Source organism: Homo sapiens, chromosome 4 (assembly GCF_000001405.40).
Source record: "Homo sapiens chromosome 4, GRCh38.p14 Primary Assembly".
NCBI lineage: Eukaryota > Metazoa > Chordata > Mammalia > Primates > Hominidae > Homo > Homo sapiens.
This window is the reverse complement of record NC_000004.12, coordinates 5,442,691-5,459,180: the sequence shown is the minus strand read 5'-3', so window position 1 is coordinate 5,459,180 and position 16,490 is coordinate 5,442,691. Positions and strand designations below refer to the sequence as shown.

General features: G+C 48.8%; 1 protein-coding gene and 1 pseudogene across 7 annotated transcripts in view; one reads left to right on the top strand and one right to left on the bottom strand.

Moving 5' to 3' along the window:
- Positions 1-16,490, bottom strand: part of STK32B (serine/threonine kinase 32B) — a 481,604-nt gene that overhangs the window by 41,809 nt on the left and 423,305 nt on the right. For all 7 annotated transcript variants that reach the window (XM_047415924.1, XM_047415925.1, NM_001306082.2 and 4 more), the window contains 2 exons: positions 12,405-12,508; positions 2,258-2,374 (listed from right to left, as the gene is read on the bottom strand). In XM_047415924.1, the coding sequence (XP_047271880.1) occupies positions 2,258-2,374; positions 12,405-12,508 (221 nt within the window). The remainder of the gene's footprint in view (positions 1-2,257; positions 2,375-12,404; positions 12,509-16,490) is intronic.
- On the top strand, positions 300-600 carry RN7SKP275 (RN7SK pseudogene 275; annotated as a pseudogene).

Genomic DNA, 16,490 nt, shown 5'->3' with positions numbered 1-16,490 from the left:
AGTCACAGCCCACAGGGATAGCTAGCAGGGGTTGCATCTGCTGATCATGGCTGCCACTCTTTAGGGGCTGTCCCAAAACAGTGGGTGCCAACTTAAGCAGGTTCCACTTCAATACCATGTGGAAGTTCACTGTTCAGGGCAGCTGTTCTGAAAACATGCTGATGTCCAGACCTGAGGGCCAGATTCTGAGTCACTTGGGTGGGCTGGGAGGTGCAGGCATTGGTGGTATGTAAGGCTTCCACATGGTTCTAATGAGCAGTCAGGGTTAAGAGACACTGACTTATAAGAACCAGGTGACGGGATGCGAGAGTGATCTGGCTGCGACACCTGTCATGCCATTGATTGCCAGGGTTGCTTCGGCTAATCTGGCTGGCTAGGCAGGTGTCCCCTTGCTCTCTCACGACTCCATGTGCATCCCTCCGAAAGCTGTGCACCCAGTCAAAGAGGATGACCATCCCCAATAGAGGAGGATCGGTCTTCGGTCAAGGGTATATGAGTAGCTGTGCTGCCCTGCTAGAGCCTCCAAACAAGCTCTCAAGAACCAGGTGGTGGATTTCCTTTAAAGTAATTTAACAGATTAATAATTCAACAAGCCATTATAGCCATGTAGGGATTAAAAGCTGGGACCTGAAGTTAGGAGAGTTTGGATCAAAATCCTGCTTCTGCCTTTTAATAGCTCTGTGGCATTGGTTGAATGATTTTGGTTTCCTATGCCTCAGCTTTCTCATCTCTGGTACTGGGATAGTGACACTTTCCCTGCTCACAGGGCTTGGGAGGAGTAAGGGAGAAGAGCCATCGTATGGCCCAGAACGCAGGACCCTAAACAGTGCTGGCTGCTATTGTCATCATTCCTTTAAAAACAACTGGGTGCCAACCTCACACAAGACTCAGCTCCATGCAAGACTCAGCTCCATGCATCGTGGAGGATGTGAAGGGAGCCTTAAAGGCAGGGCACCAAGATCTCCCGCCCATGTCGGACTGGAGTGCACACCAGAACCACCTGGAGAGCTCATGGAGACACAGACAGTGGGGCCCACCCCAGGTGTCTGATTCAGGTCTGGGTGGAGCCTGAGGATGTGCGTTTCTAACAGGCTCCCACATGACACTGATGCTGGCTGGTCCTAGGCCCATACCTTGGGAACCACTGCTTTAGTCTAATAGCAACAGTTCCTGCAGAAAGTCAAGGAGATTGATTCCTTCCTTCCTTCCTTCTTTCCTTTCCTTCCTTCCTTCCTTCCTTCCCTCCCTCCCTCCTTCCTTCCTCTCTCCCTCCATCCCTCCCTCCCTCCCTTCCGCCTCGCCTCGCTTCTTTCAGAGTTTTGCTCTTGTTGCCCAGGCTGGAGTGCAATGGTGCGATCTTGGCTCACCACAACCTCCACCTCCCAGGTTCAAGTGATTCACCTGCCTCAGCCTCCAAGTAGCTGGGATTACAGGCATGTGCCACCTACTTTTGTAGGTGGCTACTTTTGTATTTTTAGAGAGACGGGGTTTCTCCATGCTGGCCAGGCTGGTCTCGAACTCCTGACCTCATGTGATCCACCCACCTCAGCCTCCCAAAGTGCTGGAATTACAGGCGTGAGACACTGCGCCCAGCCGAGATACCCAATTTCTTAAAGGTCATTGAGTGAAAAGACCATGTGCAGCAGATTTAAAAAACCCACATGCAGGCTGGGCACGGTGGCTCACGCCTGTAATCCCAGCACTTTGGGAGGCCGAGGCTGGCGGATCACAAGGTCAGGAGATTGAGACCATCCTGGCTAACATGGTGAAACCCCGTCTCTACTAAAAATACAAAAAATTAGCCGGGCGTGTTGGCGGGTGCCTGTAGTCCCAGCTACTCAGGAGGCTGAGGCAGGAAAATGGCGTGAACCCGGGAGGCGGAGCTTGCAGTGAGTCGAGACTGCGCCACTGCACTCCAGCCTGGGCGACAGAGTGAGACTCCGTATATTAAAAAAAAAAAAAAAAAAAGAAAAAAAAAACCCCACATGCATTATTTCCGTTTATTAGGAGCTCGTAGCAGAGTGACAAGAGCCTAGGGGCTTGCGGTCAGAGCCGCCACAGTCCTCCGAGGTGTGCTGATCTGCACGCACCCCCATAACAGCGTTTATTCCACGGCATTTGGCATTTGAGCGCAGCTGATTTGATCATCTCTACCCCGAGTATGCCATTTGTATTCTCACCCCTTCGTTTGCTGATATGGCTGTTTCTACACTCACCGTAGCTCCCTGGCGGGGCAGGCTGGAAGCTGCCCCCTTACCTTCCTCAGCAGGGCCACCATCCCCTTGCACCACGTGGAGGAGTAGTGGACACGCTCCACCTTGAACATGTTGAGGATTTCATCGATGGGCGTGACCGAGTGGATTTCGTACGGCCTCTGCAATCAAAGAACAACAGCCAGAATCAGAGAGAGAGCCATTGGAAGGCACCGTCCGCATTTTAAGATTGTATGATTATGAGGGATGGTTTATTCTTCCTCTTCAAGTAACAGTGGGTGCTTCTCTTTCACGGCAGAGCAGGTGGCCCGAACCCAAGTGCCAACAGTAACCAGGCCCAGGGGGCAGTGCAGGACCTGGCAGGTGGGTGCTGCTGCTGTGGCCACAGCATGTTAGGGGTGGCTCACCGAGGTCACACAGCCCACAAATGCCAGAGGCAGGACTCACTGTCAGCAGCTTAACACCAGAGTCCCTGCTCCAGTCACAGGCTTGCGGGCTGACTCTTGCCGTCCACCAGGCACCCACGGACACCTCCAGTCATAGCCCCCACTTGCTGGGCCTTGGCCGCCACTTTCCCTGTCCGGGCCGAACTGGCCCATGGGGTGGACAGAGCTGAGATGGCCAGTGTCTGGGTGTGGTTGGGCTGAGGGATGGGAGGACCCCAGCCTCGTCCCCTGACTTCTCACCTGTCCTCCCCTCCCTACAGTGAGGATGTGTAAGCTCTGCTCTCCCCCAGTTTCTGAACTTGGTAGAAAATGAAGCCTCCTGACCATGTTTTCTCAACATTGCCATGTGCAGTTTCTTGCTTCTAAGCCCCTCTCAAAGCTTGGGAAGATTTTCTTGACTGTGACCCTGGGGACAAGGCTTGGAGTGCTTCTGAGCAGCAGTGCACTCCCGGTCCCCGCTCCCCCTGCCCCAACCCCCATGAACATTATCTCCCAGAGCCTCTCCAGCTGAACTGCGGTCCAAGATGTTTTCAGGTTGGTATCATGGCCACATGTCTTGGGATGACAAAAACAACAGTTTCCCTGGCACGTGTGGTGGTACAACAAACTGATCCTGGAGAAATCTGAGCGATGAATTCGTGATTAACCCATATGAAGTTGACTGCCATTAATATGTGCCAGTAAAATTAGTGCTGTCTGTCTCCTCCACGAAGCTGTGGGCTGCTCAAAGGGGGAATTTGACCACGCTCATTTCTGTGTTCTCGGGGCCCCAGTAGTGTCTGTCATCGAGCAGGGTCCCAGAGCATGGCGACAGTGAACGTCTCAGTCCCTCCGCAGGTGCTGAGCGAACGCTGACCCTGAGTCAGACGCCATACTGGGATCCCACTGCCACCTTGGTCCCTGGGTTTGGGGTTTCCAGGTACACACTGTGAAAAAACACTCACTTGTACTGGCTGCACCTTGAGTTCTTGCTTCGGAAAAGTTCCAAGAAGCCCAGCCCTGCAAACCAGTAGGATCTGGAGATGCCAGAGTTGGGAATGAACTCCCCTTATCTCCATGCTGAAAACCCCGCCAGGGGAGGAGCTGATTTCCTATGCATGCGGCATATGTAGAAGCATGATCCGCTTGCACTGACCTTACTGGCCACCCTCCCAGGTTGTGGTCATTGGACTGTCACCACCACGTGATCGAGCCTACATGTTGTGTGGGTAACACTGCGGCACTTAAGGTCCTGGCTCCAACCTCATGGAACGGCAATTCCCACAGGGCTGCTGCAGACAGAAGGCGCCCGCCCAAAGGGGCGAGGGGTCCCGATCCTTGGTAGGGCTACAGTTCCCTGGAGTGAAGGGACACCTTTATCTTTACCAAACAGGAGGCCCTGGAGAAGATGTTGGCCCTCAGGGGTGCGCCTCTGCCCCCTCAGATGTGCACACCCAGAAGGGAGCTTTTTTTCCTGAGTGGCACCTTCTCTCTTATCTGTTAATTGAGTGAGGACCTGTCCATTTCACCGTATAATAGGCAGAGCAAAACCAAAACCCGTGGGCTCTCTAGAAAGTCTAGTTAACTTGATACACTAACACTTAAAAAATCTTTCTTCAATTTTTTTTAATCTAATGGGAAAGTTACTTCCATGAACGAGCATTTTCTGCCCATCATTGCGTGTGTGAGATCCCTTCGCACTTCACCAGAAACAACTACCATAGTTAGAATGATGAGAGCCGATCTTAACTGAAAATGCCCCTTACGTGACACAAAGCTCATAGAATCTTTATGAGCTGGTGACTGTTAACATGACCATTTCACAGAAGACAAAACCGAGGCACTATATCCTGGAGCTGGGCACTGAGGTGAAAGGCCAGGCAGTGTGAATTGCCAAGGCTCACCTCTGACCACTGCTGCTACAGGGGAAATTGTGTCCCCCAAATTCATATGCTAAAGTCCTAGCCCCCAGGACCTCAGAATGTGACCTTATTTGGACATAGGCTCTTTCTAGAAGTAATCCAATCGAGTCATTAGAGTTGGTCCTAATTCTACGTGACCTGAGTCCGTATAAAAGGGGGACTTTATGGCACAGAAAGACACATAGAGGAAAGACGATGTGAACAAGACAGCCATCCACAAGCCAAGCAGAGAGGCCTGGAATAGGTCCTTCCCTCAGCCTCAGGAGGAACAAGCCCTGCCAACCACTTCATCTCAGACTTCTGGCCTTCAGAACTGTGAGAGAATAATTTCTGTTTAAGCCACCCAGTGTGTGGATCTTAGTTACGGCCATCACAGGTAATGAACAGCAGCCCTACAGAGCTCTCACTCCAGGAGGTGGCTGACTTTGACTCTGCTCCTGTGATGAACTGGTGACCTCTGTAGATGGGGCCCGGCATGAGCGGGACAGACATGGTCCCTCCTGCACTGAGCTCACTGTCTTGGAGAGAGATGGGCAATAAAGAGAGGTCGGGGGTGGAATGAGTGCTGGGGAGGGAATCTATGGGGCTGCTGGGCATGTTTGCGGAAGGGCAGTTCTCTATAATTTCCACAGGGGCAGGGACAGGAGACCCAGAGCTCAGGGCTACCACTGGGAGATGAGCTGGGGCTGAGTTCAGTTTTGGACTTCTTTTTTTTTAGATGGAGTTTCACTCTTGTCGCCTAGACTGGAGTGCAATGGTATGATCTCGGCTCACTGCAACCTCCACCTGCCAGGTTCAAGCGATTCTCCTGCCTCAGTCTCCCAAGTAGCTGGGATTACAGGCACGCGTCACCATGCCCCACTAATCTTTTTTATTTTTAGTAGAGACCGGGTTTTACCATGTTGGCCAGGTTGGTCTCGAACTCCTCACCTCAGGTGATCTGCCCGTCTCAGCCTCCCAGAGTGCTGGGATTACAGACGTAAGCCACTGCACCCAGCCGTTTTGGACTATTTATAATTGCTCCTTCCTGTCTTTTTTGCTTTTCAATAAACAGTTCTGCCCAAAACAGTCCCACCCCTACCCTGAAAAGGAGGTGCAAAGACCCTGGACAATGATGGGGCACTTCATCCCTCATTTCAAACGTCAGGAAACTGAGGCTGGGAGATGAAAAGAGACTTTCCCAATGTCCCCGATTCTCATCCCCTGGTCTTTCTGCATTGCCACCAGAGACCCAGAATCCAAGCACCCAACTTGAACACCAGCCAGAAACAAATGTAAATGTTTTCTTATCATTTACATTTCATTCCCTGTTTCCTTATTGGTCATTCAAGGTGCTCATCAATTCTGCTATTCCACTGGACCTCCACATGAGCTACTCTCTCTCTCTCTCTCTCTCCCTAATCTCTGTAATTCTCTCTCCTTCTGGAGGCAACCGGACCAATTACAAAAACAATGATGATAATAATAACTCCAATGCACTAGGAAGCCAGTGCAGGAAATACATTTAGAAATGAGTTCGGAACATGATGACTAAAACAAGTTCCACAGCTTTAGGCACCAGGTTCAGCCGTCATCTGTTTGAGTGGTTGTAGAGAAACGTAGGTTCTTTTATAAGATGACTGGCAAATATTAAGATCAATATCCTGTCTGCTTGTACTGATGCTGAGTTCTCTCACTCGCTGGCCTTAGGATATGCTGTGTCAGAATACCAGGTGGTATTTATAAGGTAAAGTAATTCCATGTACTGCTGGTAAAAGCAATTTTAGCAGTGGGACATTGGATATACTTATTATGGAGTGTGGGTATGTCTCTATTCCAGGAAACTCGGTTTCTAAAAAAAATTTTGCCAATTTACCAAAAAATAGAAGACAGAGGAAAAGAATTGCCGGATGTCTGTCATTTTCACTGTTAAAGTTGAGCTGGGCCTTGGAGACCATCTAATCCAATTTTTTTTTCCCAAAATCTTTTTACTCAAAATCCCAAACACAGAACAGATGAAAGTGAAAAACAGTTCCTTAGGCAATTTAAACCTCCAAACCCCAGAGAAACACTTTCCCTGCCCCTGGAACCGTTGAATCATCTCTGCAGGGTCCTAGAGTCTGAGAAGCACAGCTTGAAAACACTGAACAATTCACAAAGGTCCTTCCTCCTCCTTTGAATGGAGATCACAGACTCCATTACCTCCCAGGCTTGTGACTCCTGGCACAGTGCTCTACTGGCTCCCTTGGTGAGGTTACCTGGTCCTGTTTCTCCAGGTTCAGCCCACCCACGCCTTGTACATCCAGCGGTACTCAGTGCCGCTCTCTCACCTCTCGGCGGAGCTCTGGGCAACCTCCCTCCACTCGCTGGCCTCTCTGTACCCTCAACCTTCTCTGTCTACCCATTCCTAAGGAGAAGTGCTGACTGGGGTCAAAGGCAAGGCTAACACCAGGTCAGGGAGGTGGTTGATGGGTGAGCAAAGAGGGTAAAGTCCTCATGTCCCCATGGAGTGGGCACCAAGAAGCACAGAATGTGGATGGGAACACATCTCTGCTCATGAAGCCCATAGGCCTTACATGCTAATGGTCAGCAAACAGGTATGATCCAGCCTCTGCTCTCCGTGCCTGTCTCTAGTGGTTGAAGGGTGCTAAAGTGGGAAGGATGCAGGCTTTCAAGCAGGTCCTCCCAGGGTAGAAGTCCTAGGTGATGTGAAAGGGGCGAGGGTTCCTTGAAATCCCACTCCATGGGGGTGCAATGCATTGTGCTAATGGCCTCACCTGCAGGATCCCACTTAGTCCTCCTGGTTGTTCTATGGCAGTGGTTCTCAATCAGGGACAACTGTCCCCCAGGGGATATGTGGCAATGTTTGGAGTCATTTTGGATTGTCATAACTGGGTGGGGAGTTCTGCTGGCATCTGATGGGTGGAGGCCAGTGATATTGCTGGACATCCTAACAATGCACAGGACAGTCCCGCACCACAAAAAATCATCTGGCCTCAAATGTCCATAGTGCCGAGGTGGAGAAACCTGTACCACGGGCCTGTACTACTGTTCTCCCCATTTTATAGATAAGAAACAGGCTCACTGAAGACCATTGAGAGTCTAGGTGGCAAAGTCAGGATTTGAACCCAGACATATGTGGTTCTATGTATAATATGACCACTGTGCTGTCACTTCTCTGCTTAGGTACCATGGATAGTACCACATTACCTACAGAGTAAAGCCAAATGCCTCCAGCTGGCCTCAGGTCCTTTATAGACTGTCCCCTCACTATCCTTCTGACAGGTGGGTAGGCCAAAATGTTTGTTGAATCAGCCCTAGCTTCCACTTCTCTACCTGCGCTCACATTATTCCTTCCAGCCATTCATATGTGACCGAACTTCAATGTCTTCTCCCCCTGAAATTCTCCCCTGCTCCTCTAAACCTAAGTCAGCAGAGCTTTACCTGCATCTACCTGTCTTGTGGAATCATCGTTGTGTGTGTATTTACTTATTTGCACAATAATCCGCACATCTCCTGTGTGCCAGACACCGCCTATGCCCTGATTACATTTTCTCATGTAATCTCACATGACCCTGCAGGTGGGCCTGATAAACCTTCTTTTGTGAATGAGGAAGCCAGGGCTCAGATGAAGTTAAGTGACTTAGCCCAAATCACAACACCAAGAAGCACAGAGTGTGGATGGGAACCCATCTCTGCTCATGAAGCCCATTGGCCTTACTTGCTAATGGTCAGCAAGCAGGTGTGATCCAGCCTCTGCTCTCAGTGCCTGCCTCTAGTGCTTGAAGATGCTAAATTGGGAAGGACACAGGCTTTCCAGCAGTTCCTCCCAGGGTAGAAGTAATAGGGGGATGTTTCCTGAGTGCCAGCCATTCATCAGTCTTGGAGCTGGGTAATTAACATAATCAGAATCATTTAATTCTCAAAGCAATCCTATTGGGTAGATATAATTACTAATTTCTTCTTGTTAATACAAACGGATTCTGAATATTCAGTCTGTTTAAAAGCCTTGCTTAGGATCCCAGATGGGGTACCTGGTTAGAGCCAGGGTTTGAACCTGTGAGATTCCTCTAAAGGTTATTTTTCTCTATTATAAGGAAGCAGCTTTCGACTGAGTAAGGGGAAAATAATTTCTAGCCATTACAGCTGTTCAAGAGTGAAAAAGATTCTTTCTGGAGGTACAACGCTCCCTGGATCCTGAGGATAATCAATGAACAGATGGGTGCTCACCTGTCAGAGAGACTTTGAGGTTTGTTGGGACAATGGGTGGCTAAAGATCTGTCCATCTCTTCTCTGTGGATATGGTCAGGGGAAGGGAGATCTCCTCATATCTCTTTCCATAGTGTTCTCTGGAGAGGCAGTAGTCAGAGTGCCAGGGTGACTGGGGCACCAAAAGGAATTCTGGGGAGTGGCCCCTACTTGGGCCTTTTTCTTTCAATCAGCATGCCTGCCAGGGTAAGAACTAAGATTCTAGTTTGGGTCAGAGAGAAGTTGGATCCTACTTAGGTCTCTTGTCTAGCCTACAAGCTCCAACCAAAAGCACAGGGTTCTCTGCATCAGTGATTCCCAATATTTTTGGCACCAGGGACTGGTTTTGTGGAAGACATTTTTTTCCATGGACTAGGGTTGCGGGGATGGTTTCAGGGTGATCCAAGTGCATTACATTTATTCTACACTTTATTATTATGATATTGTAATATATAATTAAATAATTATACAACTCACCATAATGTAGAATCAGTGGGAGCCCTGAGCTGGTTTTCCTACAACTAGGCAGTCGCATCTGGGGGTGATGGGAGACAGTGACAGATCATCAGGCATTAGATTCTCATAAGGTGCACGCACCCTAGGTCCCTCGCATGCACAGTTCACAAGAGGGTTTGCACTCCCATGAGAGTCTAATGCTACTGCTGACCTGACAGGAGGTGGAGCTCAGGTGGTGATGTGAGTGACGGGGAGCAGCTCTAAATACAGAGGAAGCTTCCCTGGCTCACTTGCCATTCACCTTCACCCCCTGCTCTGCTGTGCGGCCAGTTCCTAACAGGCCACAGGCCAGTACCCAGCCCCAGGGGTTGGAGAACCCTGGTCTGCACTGTGGTCTCAAACCTGCCAACAGGACTTGGTCCCTCTGCTGTCCATAAAGCATGCTTGGCTCCTCATGAGGAGAAACAGCTGTTTTCCTGGGTCCCTGGCTAACAAGCCATATTAATATCAATTTTCCACCCATTATTTTCAATGCATTCCAACTTTAAGATCCTAGAACAACATTGGGAATTCCCACTATAACCTTTTTATGTGAGACAGAGTCTTGCTCTGTCACACCCAGGCTAGAGTGCAGTGGCACGATCTTGGCTCACTGCAACCTCCGCTTCCCGGGTTCAAGCAATTCTCCTGCCTCAGACTCTCGACTAGCTGCGATTACAGGCACCCGCCACCATGCCAGGATAATTTTTTTGTATTTTTAGTAGAGGCAGGGTTTCACCATATTGGCAAGGCTTGTTTCGATCTCCGACCTCAGGTGATCCGCCCTCCTCGGCCTCCCAAAGAACTGGGATTACAGATCTGAGTCACCGTGCCTAGCCTCCACTATGACTTTCTTTCCTCTTTTGGACGAAAGGAGCTCCCTGGATCCTACCCAAGGATGTTGTCATTGACATCACTGAGGAATTCCAAGAGGGGGGATAACTCCTAAATTTACGTAGTCCATGGATAAATATGAGTGTTTTTCAGCACAGCTTTTTGACTAAATCAACGGTTTCCAGTATGAAAAACAGAGAATAAATTATTTGCATAAACCTGTTGTCCTTTGGGTCAAAGAAGCAGCCAGTCAAATATATCTGGGAGAAAGATTTACAGTAGTACGTAACAGGTGGTGTTCTTTCATTCCATTACTTTGTCTCCATGCCAAAGGCCTGGATCCCCCATCATTTGCTTCTTCCTCTTCCAAGAAGCACCATCCTTGAAAATAGCATCTGGATCTTTCAGCAGAAAACTCAGAAGAATTAAAAAATAAAATAAAATAGTTTATTTGTGAATCAGCAAGGACCACTCCATCCTTGAGGCTTTTTGCCAAGCTATCATCTTTGATTGCACTGACCCATGAGGAATGACTGCCAATATCTTTTCTGTTGGCAGGAGCCCAGTCACGTTTAGGGCAAATGCTCGCCAAGGTCATTGCTGTGATTGATTACATAAGATTAACAGCCTCTGGCGGATGCCGGTGTGTTCTGGTTCCTACGACATCGTGGACCCTCATATTCCTCCTCTGAGTATATATATCAAAGGAAACAGCTAACAGGAAACGAACCGAGCAGGAACACCACACAGGCACCTGTCTTATGCAGCCCCGCAGCAGCTCACAGGTAAATCTGCGGGACATTAATTCTTTTCATTCAGTGAACAAGCTCATATTTTCTTTGAATTCTAAGAATGCAATGTATAATAATTATGTTTTTGAGGAATTCAGGGGAAATAACTGAGATCAAGAGCAGAAAATTGTTGCTTAACTACAGGGTGACAAATAATACTTATTTGCACTCACAGCGTTCATGGTGTACAAACTGCTCTCATCACTCATTCATTCAACAAACATTCAGTCAACACCCATTACAACCATGCAATGGGACACCCACAGTGAATAAGACACCATCATGCCCTCAAGGAAGGCACCTCCTATGGGCATGAATATGCATGTATGTAAATGACTGAAACAACATTAAAACTGTAGCCTGTGGGAGAATCTGGCTCTTTGCTTCTGTCAGCTCTGTGCTGGGCACTGGTGCTATGGAGATGAGTCTCAGGCAAACCATGTCTCCCACAGTCCAGGAACACAGGAATCCTAAAACTCCAGCTCCGCTAAATAGACAGAAAGGATCTTATTATCCCCGTTATAACAATGAGGAAACCATGGTCCTGAGACATGGTGAAGTGACATCCTTTTCAAATGATACTTGTGCAAAGAAATAACACCTCAAAATGAATTTTAGTCAAAGTACTTTCTTTTTCTGAGACAGGGCCTCACTCTGTCACCTAGGCTAGAGTGCAGTGGTGCCATCATGGCTCACTGCAGCCTTGACCTCCCAGGCTCAAGTGATTCTCCTGCCTCAGCCTCCCAAGTAGCTGAGACTACAAGCGAGTGCCACCACGCTCAGCTATTTTTTTTAAATTATTATTATTTGTAGAGATGTAATTTCCCTATGTTTCCCAGGCTGGTCTCAAATTCCTGGGCTCAAGCAATCCTCCCACCTCAGCCTCCCAAAGTGCTGGGATTACAGTGCTGAGCCACTGTGCCTGGCCTAGACATAATACTTTCTGCTCAAACAAAAAAATGTGTTATTACAGCCACCAAATAGCCCCATTAATCATCTTCAGCTTGTAAATTTAAATGCAATAAAATACAAATACGTATTGATTGAATGTCCCATTTTTATAGGACACTGAGTTAGATATTCAGGGAAGATGTGAAACAAAGAGAAAAAAGAAGCATGGTCTTCACCTTTAAAGATTTTCCAATCAGCTAGAAAATCAGACATGAAGACCTTGTGTTGTGGGTTCAAAGAGGACAGTGTTTGAAACCACGAGGCCAAGGCGCTTTGATGTTTGACTTGTCACTGATCCGCTGTGGGCCTTTGTGTAAGACCCTCCCCCACTGAATGCCTCTTTCCCATCTGTACAATGAGTGGGTTGGACCAGAAGTTCAGGGCGTTCATAGGCGGCACACAGGCATCAGGACTGAAACCTGGGGGGCAGTGACTCCCCCAGTGCTCCTTCCTGCACCGCGGGCCCTGCCGACTCTGCCCGTCCAGGTACAACGTGAGCCCCCACTGCACAGCCCCTCGTGTGTACCGCACAGGTGCCTGTCTTACCCAGCCCCGCAGCAGCTCATAGGCTGTGATGCCCAGGGACCACCAGTCGACAGGGTACGAGTATCCGGGGCCTCTGTCCATGTACACCTGGAATACTTCTGGAGCTGCCAACGAGAGGACAAGGAGAACATCATTGTGTATCCCAGTTTATGGCCACCACCCCTTAGAGAGGGGACAAGGAGAGAAATTGAGCTTGTTTTTTTTTTTTTTGTTTTTTTTTGAGATAGAGTTTTGCTCTGCTGCCCAGGCTGGCACATAATGGCGCAATGTCGGCTCCTCTGTGCCTTAGTTCAAGCGATTCTCCTTCCTCAGCCTGCCGAGCAGCTGAGATTACAGGCACCTGCCACCATGCCTGGCTAATTGTGATATTTTTAGTAGGGATGGGGTTTCACCTTGTTGGCCAGGCTGGTCTCGAACTCTTGGCCTCAGGTGATCTGCCCGCCTCAGCCTCCCAAAGTGCTGGGATTACAGGCGTGAGCCATCGCATCCGGTCAGAAATCTAGCTTTCTTGGACAGTAAAACCTGTACTTTTTTCACTATGCCATGTGGTTTGTACCCTCAGTAAGCCATGAGCTGTCTGAGAACAAGTTACAGGCATCACAGGAAGCACTGGCGTGACACTACCGGGTGGAATGCAGATGGGATGCCCTGAGGGGGCATGGAAGGGCCGTCCACTTGGCGAAAGGGAAGACATGCCCCTGGAGGGGGTGGATTGGTGGAGTATGTTTGCTGGGAGAACGGGTGGGGTAAACCCAGAGTGAGGAAGAGGAACAGAACCCCCAGGGGGTTGAGAACCTTGAGAAATGGACACTTAGAGCTCTGTGCCTGGGGCCTATCTCAGGGACAACTATATTTTAGCATAGGTGACATCTAACATGAAATACCCACAATGAGTAAATCCACAAGACAGAAAGCAGATTGGAAGTTGCTAGGGGCTGTGGGTGGGGAAGGGAGGGTGGGTGCACCTCCTTCATGGGTACCGGTTTTCCTTTGGGGTTGCTGAAAACAAATGGGTTGGAACTAGACAGAGGCGGTGCTCATAAAACATTGTGAATGTACTGAATGCTACTGAATTGTTCACTTTAAAATGGCTAATTTTATCTTATGTGAATTTCACCTCAATAGAAAAAATACAGCGAAGGGGATGGAGGCCCAAGAGTGGTGGACCCTTATTCTTCAGGGTGCTGCATTTGTCCTGGGGTCCTTGTCTCTGATCACTCTCCAAGGGGCTGAGTGGTGGGTTATCTCAGTGCCTCACCTCCACCTCACTAGGCCCGGAGTGCATTGTAGGGTCTAATTGTCTATGTGGGCTTCCAGGAACATTTTGTGAAATGTTCATTATTTCTAGTAAATTAATTTGCAGGCATAAGTCCATTTTACAGTTGTCAGAGCAGCCGAAATCTGCCCCGGGGAGCCACATACTGTTGTGATTAAAGCTGTCTCAACTCAGTTTCTAGATGGGCATTCACTCGGCATGGAAACAAGATCCAGGATGAGTTGACCTGGGGGCGCTGGCTGGGCAGCTACACACTTGAATCTGACCAGCAGCCACATTCTAGCTGCCCCCTGGCGATATTCTCCATTTGCTTCACATTTTCTAAGTGCACTTTCACCCACGGGCTCTCCTTTCCTCTTCACAACAGCCTCCGGGGACATGTTTTACAGGGGAGGTTCAGAGAGGGCCAGCAGTATGAAGAGGTCACACAGCCAGGAAATGCAAAGCTGAGATGCACCTTACAGGTCTGCTGAATTCCTGTTTGAAGTAAGGTTCGTCTCAACATTTCGTTCAGCACAAACTACATACTCAGTGCCACATAGTGGAATGGTGCACTTGGGAATTTGAGAACATGTCCCTTAGATTATTTGGTCCTTACAAAGGAACTGACATTGTGCCCTGGGAAACAGGAAGACCACTGGTGCTGCTGGAGTTACCTGTTAGTGATAAGTGACTTACCTTCTCTCTGCCTCAGTTGTGTAGAATGTAGATAATAATAATGGTTTATTCATTGGGCTGTTGTGAGGATTAAGTAGATTAAATAAGATAATCTATACTAAGAGTTTAGCAGGATGCCTGGCCCGTAGTGAGTGCTCCATGAACATTAGGCATTACTAACAGTCAAATCATGATCCTTAAGAATGCCCAAGGCGGGGGGAGGAGCCAAGATGGCCGAATAGGAACAGCTCCGGTCAACAGCTCCCAGTGTGAGCGACGCAGAAGACGGGTGATTTCTGCATTTCCATCTGAGGTACCGGGTTCATCTCACTAGGGAGTGCCAGACAGTGGGCGCAGGTCAGTGGGTGTGCGCACAGTGCGCGAGCCAAAGCAGGGCGAGGCATTGCCTCACTTGGGAAGCGCAAGGGGTCAGGGAGTTCCCTTTCCGAGTCAAAGAAAGGGGTGACGGACGGCACCTGGAAAATCGGGTCACTCCCACCCAAATACTGCGCTTTTCCGACGGGCTTAAAAAACGGTGCACCACAAGATTATATCCCGCACCTGACTTGGAGGGTCCTACACCCACGGAGTCTCGCTGATTGCTAGCACAGCAGTCTGAGATCAAACTGCAAGGCGGCAGCGAGGCTGGGGGAGGGGCGCCCGCCATTGCCCAGGCTTGATTAGGTAAACAAAGCAGCCCGGAAGCTCCAACTGGGCGGAGCCCACCACAGCTCAAGGAGGCCTGCCTGCCTCTGTAGGCTCCACCTCTGGGGGCAGGGCACAGACAAACAAAAAGACAGTAGTAACCTCTGCAGACTTAAATGTCCCTGTCTGACAGCTTTGAAGAGAGCAGTGGTTCTCCCAGCACGCAGCTGGAGATCTGAGAACTGGCAGACTGCCTCCTCAAGTGGGTGCCTGACCCCTGACCACCGAGCAGCCTGACTGGCAGGCACCCCCCAGCAGGGGCACACTGACACCTCACATGGCAGGGTATTCCAACAGACCTGCAGCTGAGGGTCCTGTCTGTTAGAAGGAAAACTAATAAACAGAAAGGACATCCACACCAAAAACCCATCTGTACATCACCATCATCAAAGACCAAAAGTAGATAAAACCACAAAGATGGGGAAAAAACAGAACAGAAAAACTGGAAACTCTAAAAAGCAGAGCGCCTCTCCTCCTCCAAAGGAATGCAGTTCCTCACCAGCAACGGAACAAAGCTGGATGGAGAATGACTTTGACAAGCTGAGAGAAGGCTTCAGACGATCAAATTACTCTGAGCTATGGGAGGACATTCAAACCAAAGGCAAAGAAGTTGAAAACTTTGAAAAAAATGTAGAAGAATGTATAACTAGAATAACCAATACAGAGGAGTGCTTAAAGGAGCTGATGGAGCTGAAAACCAAGGCTCGAGAACTACGTGAAGAATGCAGAAGCCTCAGGAGCCGATGCGATCAACTGGAAAAAGGGTATCAGCAATGGAAGATGAAATGAATGAAATGAAGCGAGAAGGGAAGTTTAGAGAAAAAAGAATAAAAAGAAACGAGCAAAGCCTCCAAGAAATATGGGACTATGTGAAAAGACCAAATCTACGTCTGATTGGTGTACCTGAAAGTGATGGGGAGAATGGAACCAAGTTGGAAAACACTCTGCAGGATATTATCCAGGAGAACTTCCCCAATCTAGCAAGGCAGGCCAACGTTCAGATTCAGGAAATACAGAGAATGCCACCAAGATACTCCTCGAGAAGAGCAACTCCAAGACACATAATTGTCAGATTCACCAAAGTTGAAATGAAGGAAAAAATGTTAAGGGCAGCCAGAGAGAAAGGTCGGGTTACCCTCAAAGGGAAGCCCATCAGACTAACAGCGGATCTCTCGGCAGACACCCTACAAGCCAGAAGAGAGTGGGGGCCAATATTCAACATTCTTAAAGAAAAGAATTTTCAACCCAGAATTTCATATCCAGCCAAACTAAGCTTCATCAGTGAAGGAGAAATAAAATCCTTTACAGACAAGCAAATGCTGAGAGATTGTGTCACCACCAGGCCTGCCTTACAAGAGCTCCTGAAGGAAGAACTAAACATGGAAAGGAACAACCGGTACCAGCCACTGCAAAATCATGCCAAAATGTAAAGACCATCAAGACTAGGA